Genomic DNA, 20123 nt, shown 5'->3' with positions numbered 1-20123 from the left:
TTTGGCATATGTTTTGTTGTCACAACTAGGGAAACCTCTTGGAGTCTAGTGGGTAGAGACCCAGCATGATGCTAAACATTCTACAATGCACAGCACAGCCACCACAACAAATATTGGTCATCTCCAAACGTCTATTGTACCAAGGTTGAGAGGCACCACCCTAACCTATGGGAAAAAATGCATAACTAAGAAGGAGGAAGCTTTTGACTTAATGTTGAGAGCAAACTTTCTACTTCTATAGATGCCCAGCAAGAGGGCAAACTGTGTCATAAAGCCATGCTTGAGCAGGACGCAGAAGCTGAGGCCTACGATTAGGGCTACAGCAGGGAGGCACTGGGCTGGTCAAGGTCTGAGTAGAACAGCTGCTAACTCTCTTCCAAACTTGGGATATCTCCTTGCTTTTTAATTGGTCAGCTGCTTGTGTCAGTAATTGTTCTCAAAGCCTTAAGAATAGACAGATTTTTTTTTGGCAGCATCTTACTCTAAAAATTTTAAAACCTATGGCAAAGTTGAAAGTATTTTACATTAAGCACTTACATACCTACAACATAGATTCTACTGAAGCTGCCTTTGCAAAAATATGACAGTGAGCGAAGGCAAGCATGGCTGACTCAGTCTTGCTTCAAGCCTCACAGGCTGGCTGTCTTCACTTCTGGATGTGGGCCAAGCTAATCATGGAGGGAATTTATAGTTTAATTAAGCAAGGGTGATAACAGTTTTTCCCTAAAATCAATCCCCTTCTTGTTTAGGGACTGAAATGGTCTTTGTAAGATTAATGAAAGGGCACAAAATTAGGATTATGTGAGAGGCCTGAATTCTGCTAAAATGACTCCCTTACTGCTCAGGAGTCATGTGGTCAGAGGTCACAAGAGTTGTGACTTTTCCAATTGCTCTTGGAGATAATATCACTATTGTAGAACCTGAGATTGTTTTTTAAGATGTTTTTCAGACTTTTGCATTCTGGCAACCAATTGACCTCACCCAGACCCATGGCTCATGACTCAACCGGTCCTGTGGCTCCAGCCCAGAGGTAGACTCAGCACATGAGGACCATTTCCCATACCCATATGATCTCTTTCTCAACCTATCAGCAGCACCCATTCCCTAGCCCCCTGCCCACCAAATAATCCATAAAAATCCTAGTCTTTGAGTTCTCAGGGAGGCTGATTACAGTAATAATAAACATCTGCCCTTCCACTTGGCCAGCCTTGTGTTAATTAAACTATTTCTTTACTGCAATAATGCTGTCTCAGTGGATTGGGTTTATCTGTGCAATGGGCAAGAAGAACCTGCCCAACAATTACACTACCATTCAGATATTTTTAAGAAAGACTTTTTCTTACCTTTTTTACCTTTTTTCACATTTTCTGCTGGAAAAAAATGAAATGTCAGTATCTAGATGGACTTTTAAATAATTTAGTTGCTCATGTTTTTTAAAGGTAATGGGATATAATGAGTATTCTTGACATGAAAATTTTACTCAGATGATACATTTGACATAATTGGGCCTATAAAACTCAATTTGTGGATTTTTAAGATGTCATTTTTGAGGACATGGATTGACTCTTCATTCTGTTATGAAATCATCATAGGTAGGTATGTCAAATACAGAGGTAGCTTTATTAATGCACATCCAAACTACAGCTCCTCATCTAAACAGAAACCCAGGAACCAGCAAATTGCAGTTTGATGCTTACAACTCACCAACCCTGATTGTCAGTGAAGTCAAGTTTTGATAATAACCAAAACTATAGTGAGTCAGTAGCATTTTATCTTTGTTATTTAGCATTTTTGTAACATTTTGTGTTTTCAAAGGGAATATCATCACCATTTCTCCTAGTCATTCAAGAGAATATCTACCTGCATATTTTCTCTGGTATGTAAGAACCACCATAACTGTTCATTTCAAACCCTAGCACATATTCTGAAAATGTTTTTAGTTCTTTCCTCCAAAAGGAAATGACCTTAAGAAAACTTACTTTGCAATGAAAAGGATTCCAAAAGGAAGATACACACACACACACACACACACAAACACACACGCACACACACACTCTGGGCTATTTGGAGGTTTGTATAGATTAATTGAAATGTAGCCCCATCCTGTAGGATCCATTTGGTGTTGTTTCACATACATATATTGTAGAAGCAATTCTTACATTGGGTTTTTCTTCTTCTTTTTAGACCCAAATTCTAATCATTAGGAATATTGAACATTCGTGTCCAAAGAGAAATTTGTTTTAGCCAAACTTCTCCTCTTTCCTCCACGTCCTCCCTCTTCACTACCCTCTACTATTGTATCACATAGCCACTCACCTCATTGATTTTATAAACACTGAAAAACAGCAAACAAACAACAATGTCAACTCCAAGAGGATAGCTCAAGGGAGTTAATGGCTCAAAGTCAAGTTCATCTTACTGAATGATGCAAAGGTTAAGGCTTTCAAGACTTGGTAAACGAGAGGAAAGTGTCACATGAAAGAACTATTGAAGAGCTCCTCTTAAAGAAGCAAAGGCCAACTGTAACAATCATCACAGTTGACGAAAGCAGCTGAAAGCAAAAGCAGAGGAATTTCCTTACTTTCTTGAGCTCCAGCTCCACAGAATAAATCAGGTTTCCTGAGAAGACTCAATCATATCATTTGATGTGCACCAACTACTATAATCTGGAAGCAATTTAATAAAAATATGTGAAGACTTATTGATAGGTTAATTGTATCCTACAGCCAAAAAATCCTACCTTAAAATGCACAAAAATAATAACCAAATCAAATTATTCATTTTGTCTATGATTAGAAAGAAGAGGGAAGCTAGGAGGAGGCAGCTTCTGCTGGTACCCACTTGAAGAAGACTTACCCTAGAGGGAGCAACTCAGAATTTCATCATGCCTTTATATGAATCTGCTGCATCTCAGGCAGCTTTTTATTGTAACTAATAGATTATCTGAGTTAACATGAGCAGAAAACACATTGGCCCATCATTAATCATTTGTACACTTAAAGTAATTTTCATTAGAGAGCACCTCACTCCTTCTGATTTGCTCTTACATCTTTACTAGACTTTAAGATCTACATAACTTATAGATATTTCAGAAGCCATTTTATTCTCCTCTTCAGATGATTTACTATTTTTCCACCTTAATGTGGCTACTTATAGCTAGGATTAAAGACTAGGTGAATTTTAATACGTATTAAATGTGTATACATGCACAGGTGTGTGCATAACACACATGGAGCTGCAAGTATTTTCCATGGTGAACTGAATTTGAATTTTCTGGACTGCTTTCAGGTGCATTGCTTCTAATTCTTACATTTATTGTCTATTTCAGGAATTTCTATTTTTAAATTTTCTTGAGAAAAAGTCAACACAAATGACATTTAACTGGGGTGTTTGTACTTTGACATTTAAAATTTTATGTGAGATGATAGAAGAAAACACTATATGGAAATTAAGCATTGGAATTGTGTAATACAGTGAAGAACTATATGTATCAAACTGAATCCTGTCACATAGATTATCATATTTCCAATTTCAACTCTAAAGTCTATTTGAACTTGCTCCATCTACAATGTGGAGATAAAATACATGTAGACAATAACTTGGACTCAGCCAATAATGCAAAGGTGCAATGATCTCAACACTGAGTTAGCCTGGAGTTTTATTGTGTTTGATCTCTTCCGTAGCTGTGTTTGATAGAGAACATATATGTATTTATTTAAATAAAGTACACATTAAAAATATTGCCAAATACTAAGATTATATATGTTTGCCAACTATCACACCTTGCAATGTCAAATACAGGATTGAAAACACAAAATTTCAGTTCTAAATAGAAGTCCAATGCAAGTTGTTGTCTAATGTGTATTCCACCCAACAGATGATCCAGTCAGTCACAGACACATTGATCTCTTTTCTGGCCATGCCTAGTACTAACGTGATTTATCATGAGGACATCAGTCTGTTAGCAACCACAGTGAATGGCAAAGCTTTCATATATGCGATATATGTGAAAGACTAAGCTAATTAGAACTAATCTACAACCTACAACTGGGGACTCTGGAATACAACATTGCAATGCCAAACCATGCAGTCTTCGACAAGAAAAAAAAATTAAGAAATGTGAATTACGTTTAAGGCATTTTGCCTCTTACCTTGATTTGTGGCATGGAGGTTATGTTGCTACTGCTGTTGTAGATCTTAATTGATTTTTAAAACATTCCTGCAGAGTGAATTTCCCAGAAGAGTTCTTTTTTCCTACTGTCAGTACATTATAGTCTTCATATTCATGTTTATTTTTAAATTACAGGACTAGCTTTTTTTCCAATTTTATGATTATTCTGCACATTTATACAGGGTGATATCAGTTTCCCTTGCAGGGCTCAGATAAACCAAGAGCAACCCTACTCAGGGTGGGTAGAAGATCTCAAGACCCCAGGGGAACAGAGGGCTGCCATCTAAGGGAGCTCAGGCAGAAAGATGAGGGAAGCTGGTGTGGGGACTGTGGGGCACAGCTGGGAAGGTGCTACTGTGTCTCACATCATAAGTACAAGGAAAGTCCAAGCAGGAGAAAATTCTGCCAAAAACTAGGAGAAAAGATGAGAATAGGAGGATTGTTGATTCCCAGCCAGAAAGTGCTGACACTTCTGTTACATGCTGCCTGGTGTGGAATGCAGTTGCTTGGCAGCTCCTTAAAGGGCCCCACAGGAAGAGCAGAGGATTGATCAATCCGTCCTGCAATAAGGGAGGATTTGTGCCACACCTACTCTTGTAAAGGGTTCCAAATGACTCTCCATTAGGGTGACTGAACAATGGGAAAGTTGTCAGAATCAAACTGGAGTCACTAATGTTAAGGTAACCCTGACAAACAGAACCAGGGAATGCCATGAAGAGGTCTCACACTGGCATGCCTGATAACGAAAAAGACTCTGCATAAACCACAACCTTGCACAAAGACCATCACAACCTTATATACAAATGCTTCTGCAAGTACTTCCCAGCAGCTTCCTGTCCAACCTAGGACTGGCACCAACCTTGTTACTAATCTCTGTAGCCAAGAATAATTATTTCAAAACAACTATGTAGTCCTCCTCATGTTTTAAAAACCTTTGTCTTCCTTTACCCCCCTGAATATGCACATAGTTATTATGGTATGTGTAATCCTATTGCAGTGCTATATTACCAAATATCTTTTGTTTAAGAGAATCTCTTTCTGCTGTTTTTTAGGTTGACAACAACATGGTAGAGGTGTTGGCTCACTGCAGCCTTTCCAGATGTCCCTCCTTGACCTTCTCAGGAGACATGTCTATTGAATCTATCACGTTGGATCCCAGAGGATAAGTCTTTATTTCCAACATGTGCAATGTGGCCCTATCAACCAGGAGAATATCTCAGGAGTCTCCCAAAGTTGTTAGCATGAAATGGAAACCAGTGGAGACTAAATAAAGAACAAGAGGTAAGAGCGGAGGTGAAGCTGAGCTAACTGTTAGCACCAGGTCCTTGTCCCATCCTTTCTAATCTTAGAGACTTGGACCCAGTTGCACCAGGGCAATTATGTCCTGCCACACAAAGTGTCACACAGTTGCAGCTGTGGCTTTGCACAGGACCAAGTCACAGAGGGGAGGGATGGGACACTTTTGGGCAAAAGACATGCTGATCTGCACAGTGATGTTAGCATGGTCCTTTATAATCCTGCATAGAGGATTGTCTCATGTGTCAATATGACTTTCAAACACACTTTTTGCCCATCCATGGATGGTGTCCTCCTTCACTCTTGGAAAATTAAGGTCCAGAACCTCACTTGGTGAATTGAGTACTGAAATGGTCATATAAGCTAATCATCACAGGCAGGGGAGGCATCATGAAAGGCAGCACGGGAAGGCAGCTGCACACAGGTGAGCCATGTTCCCAAGGCCCAGACACACTGCCACCATGCACAATGGCACTTCCGGCCTAGCCCTGACTTTGCAATCTCCGTGATTCCAGTGCCCAATCCCTTGTCTGTCTCATGAAATGGGTTCAACAATATAGGTCTGTCCGAGGAATTGTTTAATCCTATTTATCGCTTGATGCATCATTTTTTGGGGAGGACACTTCCCCAGAATTTCAAAAGGCAAAGATAAAATGTTTGTGGTGTCTCTAAACCACCGTGTAAGAAGATGACGAGGCACATTACAGAGAAGTTTGCACTTCAGGCCTCAACTTGCCTTCCCTAATCATCTCCAAGGAACCCGTCATATTCCTCCTGATACAGTTCACCCCAACTGTTCAATTTGGAAAGAATTGTACATTTCTATGCTGAATTTTCCTTTGTTGCAAAGACCATATGTAATCTTTATCCTTTTCCCATCAAATAAAAACCTACAAATTTAAAAATGAGCTCAATTTGTGTTTCAAGCTGTTCTCCATGAACTCTGAATCAACTTGCTGAATTAAGAGGAGAAAACAAGTATTTCCACCAGTTGTGTTCTCTGCCATTTAATGGGTATCAATTTCCAAAGGGAGCATCCCTTTGTATCCATTCAACATTAAAGCTTGCTTACAAGGAGTCATGAAAACATTCACGGAAAATGCATATTATGAAAAAATTATGCAGGGATTTCAATTTCTGGCACCAACGCATACTTGTACTAACTTGTTATGACATGTCTAATGAGGATCACTTTGAAAAAGCCCATAATAAAGCAACATGAATTCTGCTAAAATTGAAGCAAGAATAAGCATAAAACTTACAGTGAACCTTCAGAGGAAGAATGGTGAAACATTGATGCTTTATTTATGGGGATAATGACCCAAAGACATCAGCAATTTACAAACGGATAACTTGTTTTAAGAAGGGATGTGGCAATGTTGAAGATGAAGCCCACACCAGCAGACCATCCACATAAATTTTCAAGGAAAAAAATCATCTTGTTTATGCCCTAATTGAAGAAGATTCATGATTAACAGCACAAATAATAGCCAACATCATGAACATCTCAAGTGGTTTAAGTTATGCAATTCTGACTGAAAAATTAAAGTTAAGCAAACTTTCCACTCAATGAGTGCCAAAACCATTGCACCCAGATCAGCTTCAGGCAAGAGTAGGACTTGCAATGGAAAATTTAAACAAATGGGATAAAGATCCTAATGGATGTCTTCAAATAATTGTAACAGGAGATGGAACATGGCTTTACCAGTATGAAAAAAGCACAATCAAAGCAATGGCTGCCAAGAGGTGGGAGTGGTCCAGTCAAAGTAACAGTGTACTAGTCAAGAGCTGAGGTCGTGGCAATGGTTTTTTTGGGATGCTCAAGGCATTTTGCTCATTGACTTTCTGGAGGGCTAAAGAATGATAACATCTGCTTATTATGAGAGTATTTTGAGAAAGTTAACTGAAGCTTTTGCAGAGAAACACCCAGGAAAGCTTCACCAGAGTCCTCCTCCACCACAGCAATGCTCCTGCTCCTTCCTCTAATCAAACATGGGCAATTTTATGAGAGTTTTGATGGGAAATCAATAGGCATCTACTCTACAGTCCTGATTTGGCTCCTTCTGACTTCTGTTTCCCAAACTTAAAAGAATCTTTAAAAAGCACCCATTTTTCTTCACTTAAAATATAAAAATAAACTGCATTGACATGGTTAAATTCCCAGGACTTTCATTTGTTTAGGGATGGACTGCATGGCTGGTATTTTGCCTTACGAAAATGTCTTGAATTTGATGGAGCTTACGTGAAGAAATAAAGTTTTTTTTTAATTTTTATCTTTTAATTTTATTTTTCCACAAACTTTTTGAAGTCCCCTCATATCTCAAAACTATGGTTGAGAACATAAACTAAACTAAGAATAAATACATAACCACTACATCAAAAATAGTGAGAATCTAGAATTAGCTCTTGGAGGGGGGGAAAAAAAGCAATATGTCCATATGTATTACACATAAAAGCAAAGCAAATACTGTATTCTTGGGAAAGGTATATATTCCTATTCTGCATAAAAATATAATTTTGTTGAAGAAATGAGACTAGAGAATGAGGCATTGCTATGAAATGTCTACTCCATAAAAATCAGTTATTCATTAGAGTAACAATATGACTCAGCATTTATTTTTTAATTGCAACAGTTTTGGGGGAACAGGTGGGTTTTGATTATATAGGTAAGTTCTTTAGTGGTGATTTATGAGACTTTGGTGTACCCATCAACTGATCAGTGTACACTGTACCCAGTGTATAGTTTTATTCCTCATCCCCCTCCTACCCTTCCCTGAGTCCCCAAAGTCCATTATATTCTTATGACTTTGCATCCTCACAGCTTAGCTCCCAATTATGTGAGAACACGATTGAATATTTAGTTTAATAAAAATAAATTGATGTCAGATTTGAATTAATGGAAAAATTCAATGTGGATCACCTTGAGAGACCTCGTGTCAGAGAAGGAGAACCCAACAACTCAGCTACACCTCTAAAGACTGAGGTTCCTCGACCCTTTAGGAAAGAGGATCAGGAGGAAGGCTGGGTCACCCTCGAAGGTGTCTACAAAGAGCAGAAATGAGAAAATGAAGCAGGACTTCAAGAAATATTTCAAATACTAATTGAAACAGTTAATAGCCTCTTTAAAGTCTAAAGAGTCTGAGTATGTGAAGTGAAATATTCATTACTTTTTGGAATTTATTTAGTGCAAAATTTAATTAGTTAATATATTGAACAATAAAATACAGAAAGCCAGTATTTTTTGAGAATTTCAACATTACAAATTTGAATCATTATATGTCCAAAAACATTTTAAATAACAAATTTAGCAAGCCATATTTCAATGGTTCAAACACCTGAAGCATCAGAAAAATAATGTAATGGCCACAAAATACATTTATTCAGGTATATTCAAAACTAAACTATGAACAGCATGGATTTATTTCATTTCTTTTTTACTTCTATACTGTGTTTATATGTTCCGAGTGTTATTGATATGCTTATTCTAATATCTTTGCAAGAGTTAGGTAGTAATACTTTGATTCCTCCCTGGGACTGCAGAAATCTTGCCAGACTCCAGAGAAAGAGAATTCTTTCTTAGGCCAACTGTCTTCTCTTCAGTGAGCTGAGATATCCAGCTACTCGACATGGTTTCTTCTCCCAAGCGAATTCAAACTGGAGCTGCAAAGCATCAACCTGCATTTCCTTTTTGTAATTAAATTGCAGTTAGACTTCTTTTATTGTGATAAGAATATTTAGTATGCAATCTACCCACTTACAAAATTTCCAAGTGCATAATACAGTATTATTAGCTATAGGCACACAGTGTTCTACAGCAGATCTCTCGACCTTATTCATCCGTCTTGCATAGCTCAAATGTTACATTTGTTGAATAGCAGGGGAAATGGGAGGTGCTGTTCAATAAGACTTTTAAATTCTAGACCTTGTACTTAGGTTTTAGGTTTTGTGTTTTGTTTTAACCAGTATTAGTCATACTCCCCACTGTCATGGATAGAATAGTGGTCCCCCCAAAAGATATGTCCCTGGAACCTGTGAATATGAACTTATTTGGGAAAGGAGTCTTGCCAGATGTAACTAAGTTAAGGATCTTGAGATGAAAAGATAATCCTGGGTTTTACAGGTGGGCCCTAAATGCCACAAGAAACACTCGGAGGAGATTTGACCAAAAAAAAAAAAAGAGAGAGAAAGAGGCAGTGTGACCATGCCAGAGAGGCAGAGGTTGGAGCGACGCAGCCACAGACAAGGATCGCCAGCAGCGGCCAGAAGTGGATTTGGAAACTTCCCCAGAGACTTCAAAGGCAACGAGGCCCCACTGACACCTGGATTTCAGACTTTTGGCCTCAAGAACTATAGAGAATGAATTTATGTTGTTTTGTACCACTGAGTTTGTTGTAAATTTGTTACAGCAGCCACAGTAAGGTAATATGCCTCCAAGCAGTAATTTTAAAATATGACTTGGCCTGCATTACATCGTTCAGAGTCCATGCTTTGGGATGTATTGCTAAGTATAGTCTGTACACATTATTAAACACATACTAAATTATAACTAGTACAGCCATATAAATATTTCCTGGAAGAAGGACTGAGTCTACATAATTAGTTTTCCTCTTTAGGACATTTAAGTAATTCTTCCCTTTGGAATATGTGGCCAATCTCTATTTGTAGGTGACCACAACTTACTGCTTGAGGTTTCAGTATCTACCTTTTCTGGGATCCTCTGGTTTGTTTACAGTTATTTTGGTGTATTCTTATGTACGTGGATAGAAGCAAGTGTATATTTGCTCTTTAAAACTAGACTTACAATAGAAGAAATATCTACATATTTTGACGTCACCTACTTATTAAAAATCTATAAAGTAATGAAAGCCATTTCACTATTTTCATCCTTCTTTTGTGTTACAATTACCTGTCTGTGTTTTTCTTATTGACTTTTCTCTTTGGGGTATCTTCATCAATTCATGGCTTTAAGGACACTTTATCCTCATTCATCGTAACTGTATTTATATTTGAGACCCAAATGATTATAGCCATAATCACATTTGATATTTATATTATATAAAACATAAATATATTAAAGACTAATAAAATATATTATATATAATTATATTTGATAAAACAGATTACAACATAATTCTATTTGAGGCTCAAATGATTACAACTTGGCCAGTGGGTGTCTCTTTAAGTTGTCTTTAAGTTGTTCTCTTTGTTCTTTCAGCACAGCCCTTTGCTTTTTGGCCACTAAATTTTCCTGATTTTACCCTGCTACAGGTATGGAATCAGCCACCCTACAATGATTCTTGGTTCCTTTTGTGGGGAACAGACTAGACACTGAAGTCTGGGCGCTGGAGGAGCAGGTGATGGGAAGCACCCTCCTATTACTTTGGCACCGTGTTTAGTAAAGACAGAGCTGGGAAACACAGACCTTGTTAAAAATCCCACGTGCACCTGAGGTTTCTAATAGTTCTGCTCATTCTCCACCTGTCCTCTGCATCCATCCTCTCCCCTTTGTTCTGCTCACTACCCCCAGGAGGCTGAGTGCTGGAGTGGCCATCACTACGGTGTCCTTACCCTTGGGCTTCGGCTAGATTTGGCAAATAGCAGGGACCAACAGGAGGTCGGTGAGCAGAAGGGGAGGGAGGCTAGGAGTGCAATTCTCCTTACTCACCCCACTCCAACTTCACATGGCCATCTGGGCAGAGCTGCACTCTCATTTTTACTGCTCCCCTTAGGTAGTCTCTCCTCCATAAATCCAGTGAGATTCTCTTGTCAGCTGCCCTTCAGACACTGGGGTGGGAAGAGCTTCCTGCTGGTAGAGCCTCTCCTCACCCTTTCTAGATGTCTTGACCCTGGCTCATACCTCTCTCTTTAGTTAAACGTTTGGAGTGGAGGTTGGTTTTTTTTTTGTTTTGTTTTGTTTTCTGTTGACCTGGCAACTCAGACTCCAACATAACACATTGTTTTCCTATATACCAATTTTCTAACAGTAAATAGTTTCATCAACTGATAAAATTTACTCCTACATTGACAGAAGCCTTGTTTTCATTCTTTATTCCATGGTGAGGCTTAAAATTTATTCAAAGAAATGCTACTGTTAAGTTAGCCTATGCAAACAGAGAGAACAAACTGGGCCAATTAGTGACCAGCTAAATTGGCACCACGTCAAGCAGTTTCTCTAAGACTAGTTGGAACTTGAGGGTCTTTTGCACATCCTGAAAAGCAGCTCTCAGTAGTTTTATTACATATAATAAAAGAGTTTTACTATATACAATAAAACAAAGGGGATTTCCTGTCAGTTCCTGTCAGGCTGCCTTTCTAGTGATCAAACTGACCAATGACCCAGGAACAGCAGAGATATCTAAAATGTGGGGAGACTGAGAATAAAAAAAATCTGTTTACACTGAAATGGGGAGCTGAATTTTTTTAATAAATCTTTTTTTTTTTTTTTTAGAAATAAAGTAACTTCATTAGAAACTTCAGTTTTTAAGTTACAGATTTGTAGAAAAATTATAAAGATAGTGCAGAGATACTCATGTATCCCACACTTAATTTTCTCTATGATTAAGACTTCACATTAGTATGGTACATTTACTTCAATTAATCAACATGACACATTATTATTAACTAAGCTCCATAATTTATTCTGATTTCCTTCATTTTTACCCAATATCCTGTCTCTCTTCCAGTACCCTGTGCAGGAGAACATGTGACATTTAATAGTCATGCCTCACTAGGCCCCTCTAGACTGTGACAGTCTCTCAGAGTCTCCTTGCTCTGATGACCTTGGCAGTTCTGAGGAGATTTTGTAAATTGGGACTTGTCTGATTCTTTTGTGTGATTAGACCATTACAGGTTTTTGGGAGAAAAACCACAGAAGCAAAGTATCCTTTTCATCACATTGTATCAAGGTACACTCTGCCAGCATCATAACACAGTTGCTGCTGACCTTGATTGTCTGACTGAGATAGTTTTTCAGAAGGAAGTCACCCTGTGCAGCCCACACTTAAGGGTGGGAGTTGTGGTTGTGTTACACCTGTTTGAGGGCAGAGTATCTGCATGAATTACTGGAATTCCTCTGCATGGGAGATTTGGCTCTTCTCTCCCATTCAGTTATTTAGCAAATAATTGATTTATATTAGTACGAACTCACAGATATTTATAATTTGCGTTGTAGTTTGGTGCTGCTTTATTTTGTTGCTCAAATTTCAGCATTGGCCACTGGAAGTTCTTACAGTTGGCTCCTGAGTCCCTTTGACATACACCCATCTCTCCTGCGCCTTCCTCCCCCTTTTTTTTTTTTTTTCCAGCATTTCCTTCTTTTCTGGCACTAAAAGATGCTCCAGGCTTATATATTTCTTGCTCCAGTCCTAGAATCAGTCATTCTCCAAGGTGGGAGGCTAGATTTTACAAAGTAACATTTAACATAAATAAACTTGAGTTCCTTCTGCATTCCTCTCCTCAGCATCTACATCTCCATCCCAGCCAGGAGGGGCTGCAACACAGAAAAAAAGATCAAAGGAATCAAAGCAATCACCCCAACACATACGCACACAAAAGGCCAGAATAGGCACTACTTTCTTAGCCACTTATCACCAAGAGTTTTTGAATGTTCTTTGGATAAAATGTGTTAAAAAAAATGTATATATGTTATTTATGAGTTGTACAGATAATAAGTAAAAACCCACAGTTAGAATTGAAAATATCAGACTGAACTTCCTACTTACCTTTAAATATATATATGTGTGTGTGTGTGTATGAGTATGTGTGTGTGAAACTATATACATACGTACATATTTCCTACTTGTATACACTGAACAAGCCTAAAAACGAAGACAAACCCAGTAGTGATTACATCTTGGATTGCAAACTTCAAATACCATTTCTTGCAATGGAAAGTAGGGCTCCTTGAGAAATGCCTGGTTCCAATGTACAAGAAAAGCCTGGAAGATTTCTTCATGCCCGAAAGCAAGGAACCTGTCAAGACTACTAGTGCCTTATCAAAAAGACTGAGGAACTAACTTGAATAGGCTCCCACTGGCCGAAAATGAAGCAATTTGAATATTAAAAAAGGTAATACTTGCAATGGATTGAAAGACATTACATATGATTTAATACAGGAGAGTTTATAATCATACTAAAAAAAGAAAAATTCAGCTCATTAATCAACCTTGGATACATGCAGAGAACCAATTAATTTTTTTAGGACTGATTTTTTAAAAATTAGGGAGAAGAAATGGAGCAATTATCAGGCCTTCCCTATAAAATCTGTTTATCTGAGTATCCAAATAGTTAATGAAAGAAAAGTATCTTTCTGGAATTATCTCATGAGTAAATAACTGAGGTGAGATAGACTATCCATTTGCAATACTAACTACTAATGAATTAAAGGATCTAGGCAAATAATTTCAATGGTTGATAAGCATCACCAAAAAAAGAGACAATTAGGTATTACCTGCCTCTCGATGGAAGGACACCATTGCAAAGTAGCATGGTCAAGAAAAAGAACAAAATCAAGACTAAGTCTGATCAAATGTCTATCTATCAACCTATAGGAGCAGGGAACAGAGGAACGTGCTTAAAATTCCATGGGGATAAAATAAACAAAATCCAGACTGTGAGAAAACCTACACCCTACCACCCAGTTTCTTCAACAGAAAAAAATGATGTAGAGGAATTTAAGAGTGATGATCAAAAGGTGGGCTTCATTTAGTTCTCAATTTAATAAACGTTAAAAAATTAAATATCCAATTAGGGAAATGTGAAAATACTGAATATAGGATGATATTCAGGAATTATTGCTAGGTTTTTTGATATAATGATGTTATGATTAGGTAGCTGTAATACTTTTAAATATATTTGAAAATTCGCTTTTTTTTTCACAATGGGTTTGCCGCCAGAACACAGGTGTCATGAAAACTACCCCCAAAAGCCAAAATGGGAAAGGAAAAGACTCATACCAACATTGTCGTCATTGGACACATAGATTCGGGCAAGTCCACCACTACTGGCCATCTGATCTACAAAGGCGGTGGCATCGACAAAAGAACCATTGAAAAATTTGAGAAGGAGGCTGCTGAGATGGGAAAGGGCTCCTTCAAGTATGCCTGGGTCTTGGATAAACTGAAAGCTGAGTGTGAACATGGTATCACCATTGATACCTCCTTGTGGAAATTTGAGACCAGCAAGTACTATGTGACTATCGTTGATGCCCCAGGACACAGAGACTTCATCAAAAACATGATTACAGAGACATCTCAGGCTGACTGTGCTGTCCTGATTGTTGCTGCTGGTGTTGGTGAATTTGAAGCTGGTATCTCCAAGAATGGGCAAACCCAAGAGCATGCCCTTCTGGCTTACACACTGGGTGTGAAACAACTAATTGTTGGTGTTAACAAAATGGATTCTACTGAGCCACCCTACAGCCAGAAGAGATATGAGGAAAATTGTTAAGGAAGTCAGCACTTACATTAAGAAAATTGGCTACAACCCTGACACAGTAGCATTTGTGCCAATTTCTGGTTGGAATGGTGACAACATGCTGGAGCCAAGTGCTAACATGCCTTGGAACCATGCTGCTTGAGGCTCTGGACTGCATCCTACCACCAACTCGTCCAACTGACAAGCCCTTGCACCTGCCTCTCCAGGATGTCTACAAAATTGGTGGTATTGGTAGTGTTCCTGTTGGCCGAGTGGAGACTGGTGTTCTCAAACCTGGTATGGTGGTCACCTTTGCTCCAGTCAACGTTACAACAGAAGTAAAATCTGTCGAAATGCACCATGAAGCTTTGAGTGAAGCTCTTCCTGGGGACAATGTGGGCTTCAATGTCAAGAATGTGTCTGTCAAGGATGTTCGTCATGGCAACGTTGCTGGTGACAGCAAAAATGACCCACCAATGGAAGCAGCTGGTTTCACTGCTCAGGTGATTATCCTGAACCATCCAGGCCAAATAAGCACTGGCTATGCCCCTGTATTGGATTGCCACACGGCTCATATTGCATGCAAGTTTGCTGAGCTGAAGGAAAAGATTGATCACCGTTCTGGTAAAAAGCTGGAAGATGGCCCTAAATTCTTGAAGTCTGTTGATGCTGCCATTGTTGATATGGTTCCTGGCAAGCCCATGTGTGTTGAGAGCTTCTCGGACTATCCATCTTTGGGTTGCTTTGCTGTTCGTGATATGAGACAGATAGTTACAGTGGGTGTCATCAAAGCAGTGGACAAGAAGACTGCTGGAGCTGGCAAGGTCACCAAGTCTGCCCAGAAAGCTCAGAAGGCTAAATGAATATTATCCCTAATACCTGCCACCCCACTCTTAATCAGTGATGGAAGAACAGTCTCAGAACTCTGTTTCAATTGGCCATTTAAGTTTAGTAGTAAAAGACTGGTTAATGATAACAATGCATCGTAAAACCTTCAGAAGGAAAGGAGAATGTTCTGTGGACCACTTTGGTTTTCTTTTTTGCGTGTGGCAGTTTTAAGTTACTAGCTTTTAAAATCAGCCCTTTTTAATGGAAACAACTTGACCAAAAATTTGTCACAGAATTTTGAGACCCATTTAAAAAGTTTAATGAGGAAAAAAAAGGTTGAAAAATTGTCATGACCCCAAATGTTCTTGCTTAAAGTCACCCAGATAGTAATGTAACAGTGCAACAGTAAAACAACTAACATGACTGACTCCATTTTTGTTTAAGAGGGCTTTACCCATTCCCGCACATAGGTTAGAATAATTTTAGAGCACTAAGATTACATGCAGAAAACAGCAATCATGTGGTTTTTAAACTAAGTCTGGGATTAAGGAAAGAATGCAAACAACTACTATGTCTTGTTAAAGATTTGTAGGAGCATTGTGACCCGACCACGGACAAAGTGGTTCCCCATCTCCTCCATCTGTCACTGGAGCCCAGATGTCTACAGACCTCTGTCACCTCTTGATACAAACACCCTCCTCTTCCCTATATCCTTCTCCCACAAAAATCCTGCGGCCAGCCTGGAAATTTGAAGGTGGTACTTTAGAATGCTAGTTCACCATCTTCTTGCTTTTCCTCCCACCAACTTCATCTCTCGTATTTGGCTTTCAAGTAGCAAGCACCCGAACCTGGGTTTGGTTACAGTAATTTCTGAAGCTCAGGTTGAAACACTGTGAATTAAGACACAAATAAATGAGTCACCCCAAACCAAAGAAAATTACTCTGTATTGGCAAACCAATTTTTTTCAAAGCAGTTTCTGATGTCCTTCAGTAGTTGAGACCTATAGTTCTCCAATCCCATTGCCCTGAAAGTATTCTGCTAAGTGTCTTTAATTTGCCTTGATATCTGGGAATGGAAGTTGAAATGCATATAAATGTTAATTCAAGAGCTTTTGTCTCGGGCATCACATCTGTCGGGTCACTTCCCTGAGCAGCTTTGAACTGGCACAATCGTATGGAGTTAATTTTTTTTTCTTGGCTTTTCTAGTTAGCCTGAATGAACCAGAAGGCCCTTTGGGTGTGTCGAGGGTAAGTCAATACAATAACACTTTTTAATGGCATTCAATTGTACTTGAAACCTGACAACCAAAACTGGGTCAGCATGAAGGCCTCCCAGTCACCCTGGTGACTTCGACTCAGAAGACACAGTAGGTATCCCAGTTCCAAAATGGGTACATTGTTTTAACCTCACATAAATTTTTCACAAATATTACTTAAAACAACAATTTCCTTTGTGCCATAAAAGATTTTAAATTATTGATGAGTAGTTTCAGTCCATAGAAAACTGCCTAAATTAGCAGTAAAACAAATTAGAAATAATTGTGTGAGCTATGACAACGTTCTAAATATAGAACACACAGCTAGATTTTCCTAGTTACTTCTTAAAGTTATCAGGACCTTTGTAAAATTGGAAATATTACAGTGCCTTTTCACTAGCATTTTTGATAATCAGATTTAATAAGAATGATGACAGTAATGATGATAGCACTAATGACTAACATCATTTAGGATTGTTATGTTCTAAATACTGTGCTCAGCATTTTACATGTTTTATCTCATTTAATCTTTATAATATCCCTGTCTCTATGAGGAAGGTTGTAGTAGGTCCTATTATAATTGTTTTACAAATGAGCAAAGAGGCTTAGAAGTTGAGTTGCATTTTTTAAATGGCAGGACCAGTACTAGTAGATATTACAAAGCTAGTTGGAAAAAGCAGACTTCTTTCATAGTTCCCGTGAAAATGATCCATACAAGTGAATTTCAAATATATATAATTTTGGCAAGACATTAATATAAACCCTCATATAAAGATGTGCTCATCCTGGGACTGAACAGCCTGGAACACACAGAAGAAAACTGGATTGCACAATAATAAAAGAAATTTGCACCAAAGCGGAAGAGCAATTATTGTCTGCGAAAGGTTTCACTAGGTCTTTAGTATGAAAGACTTAGAAATTGCTATGAGAATCTCGCTGTCAATCATTTATGTTTACTGCATATAATTATAGTTGGATTATATAGTTCACTGCATTTGGGCTTTACTCTCCAGCAGTCTCAGTTAATTGTTTTTGCTGTTCTCATAAAATGTTTCCATTTGTGTTGTGGGTGGATATTTAGAACCAATCCAATATCTTTTAAGTGGCCTTCCATTCTCCTTTGAATGTACAGGGTCTTATCAAAGGAAACCTGTCTGAATATCTCCCCTTAGAGAATTTATCTAGTTCTGCTTCCTGTTTTCCCCCTAGAATCAACTTATCTTCCCACTGAACCCGGTTCTAGGAACTTCACTTTTGAAGCTAAGTTTTGCTTCTGTGAAGCCCCATTTTGGTTTGGCAGTTCTAGGCTGGAGTTTGATCTTTTCCCTTGGGTGCTCTCTTCAGACCACTGGGCTCCATATCTTGGAGATGGGGAGTGGATCTGCACCTCTGCCCTGTCCAGCCACCAAGCATTCTGAACCCCAGCCAGGATGAACCCCTGTGATAACAGAAGAAACCAAGTCAAGCATGTCTTAAAGAATGTTGTCTCTACAAAGAAGTTTATTTCTGACGAGAAGACCTACAATCCACACCTACTCATAATCACTTACCTAATAAAAACAAAACAGCCCTAGAATTTGTAAATACATTATTTTTCTTCCTAAGAGTTCAGAAGCAACAGTAAAAACAATGGACAACACCAGGAAAATTTGGAAATAAAAAAGAAGTGTCTTCTATTTTTAGCATGTGATGTCTTGATGAAAAATCTCATGCCAATGTGATTCTCAGTTGACTTGTTTTTCTCTAAAAGCCTTTATCTTAATATTTTGAAGTTCCACAATGATGTGTCTATGTCAACAGCTTTTTGCCTTTGTTGGATTTGGTACTCAGTAAGTTTTTTTCCATTTAAGAAATAGGGTTACCTTCAACTGTATAGAAATTTTTATATTATTTCTTTGGAGGAAAAAAAATTGTTTCCCTCCTGTTTGTTGTTACTTTTTAGAAATCCTATTAGATGTTTGATCTCCAGTCTTGACTGTAGTCTCTATGTCTTCTCTGTCCTCTCAAATTTTGTACCTCCTTATTTTTGATCTGGGAGATTTCTTTAATTTTCCTTGCGGTCTCCTACTGAATTTTGTTACTTAGCCCATTGTGTTTTTAAGTTCCAAGAACCCTTTCCCGTGCCTTCGTTCCATAGCATCCAGTTCTTACTGAATGGATACAATGTCTTTTATATTACTCAGTAATAGTTTCTTTAAGTCTTGTTGGTTCTCCATTTTTCTCTTTCATTTTGCAGACCAAAAATAGGATTGCATCAAACTGAAAAGCTTCTGCACAGCAAAGGAAACAATTAATAGAGTGAAGAGACAAACTATGAAATGGGAAAAAATATTTACAAATTATGCATCAAAGATTTAATATCCAAAACATACAAGAAGTTCAAACTATTCAATAATAGGAAATCAAATAACTCTATTTAAAAATGGTCAAAGGACTTGAATAGACATTTTTCAAAAGAAGACATAAAAATGGCCAACATATATATGAAAAAACGCTTGACATCTCTAATCATCAGAGAAATGCAAATTAAAACCATAATGAAGCATCAACTCACACCCATTAGATTGACTATTATCAGAAAGATCCAAGATAACAAATGTTGGTAAGGATGTAAAGAAAAGGGAACCCTTATACACTGTTGGTGGTATTGTAAATTTGTACAGCCATTTTGGAAAATAGGATGAACTTTCCTCAAAAATCTATGAACAGAACTACTGTATGATCCAGCAATTTCACTGCTAGTCATGCACACAAAGGAGGTTTAATCACTATGTCAGGAATATCTGCACTCTTATGTTTATTGCAGCATTACGCACAACAGCCAAGTTATGGAAACAACCTAAGTATCCATCAACCAATGAACAGATTAAAAATGTGGTATACATACACAATGGAATACTATTCAGTCAGAAAAAGAATGAAAACCTGTCATTCATAACAACACCAATGAACCTAGAGGCCATTATGTTAGGTGAAATAAGCCAAGCACACAGAAGATACCCTGTGATTTTCCTTGTATACAAAATATTTTAAGAAGTCAAATTCACAGAAGTAGAGGGTAGAATGGTGGTTACTAGAGTACTGGAGGCTGGGGCGGGGAGTGGTGATGGGGAAAGGAAGGATGTTGGCCAATGGGCACTAAATTAGTTAGAGAGAAA

The 20123-nt window shown here is 38.1% G+C and overlaps 1 long non-coding RNA gene and 1 pseudogene across 2 annotated transcripts in view; one reads left to right on the top strand and one right to left on the bottom strand.

The window, feature by feature from the left end:
• LOC102724744 (uncharacterized) overlaps positions 1-11391 on the bottom strand; it is an 81680-nt gene extending 70289 nt beyond the window's left edge. The window contains exon 1 of one of the 2 annotated variants that reach the window (XR_923152.3): positions 11133-11391. This is a non-coding gene — a long non-coding RNA (uncharacterized LOC102724744). The remainder of the gene's footprint in view (positions 1-11132) is intronic. The other variant, XR_923150.3, reaches the window with a different exon arrangement.
• Positions 14337-16034, top strand: EEF1A1P12 (eukaryotic translation elongation factor 1 alpha 1 pseudogene 12; annotated as a pseudogene).

Source organism: Homo sapiens, chromosome 2 (assembly GCF_000001405.40).
Source record: "Homo sapiens chromosome 2, GRCh38.p14 Primary Assembly".
Taxonomy (NCBI): Eukaryota; Metazoa; Chordata; class Mammalia; order Primates; family Hominidae; genus Homo; species Homo sapiens.
Note: the sequence above shows the minus strand (reverse complement) of the source record. Positions and strands in the feature narration are given on the sequence as shown.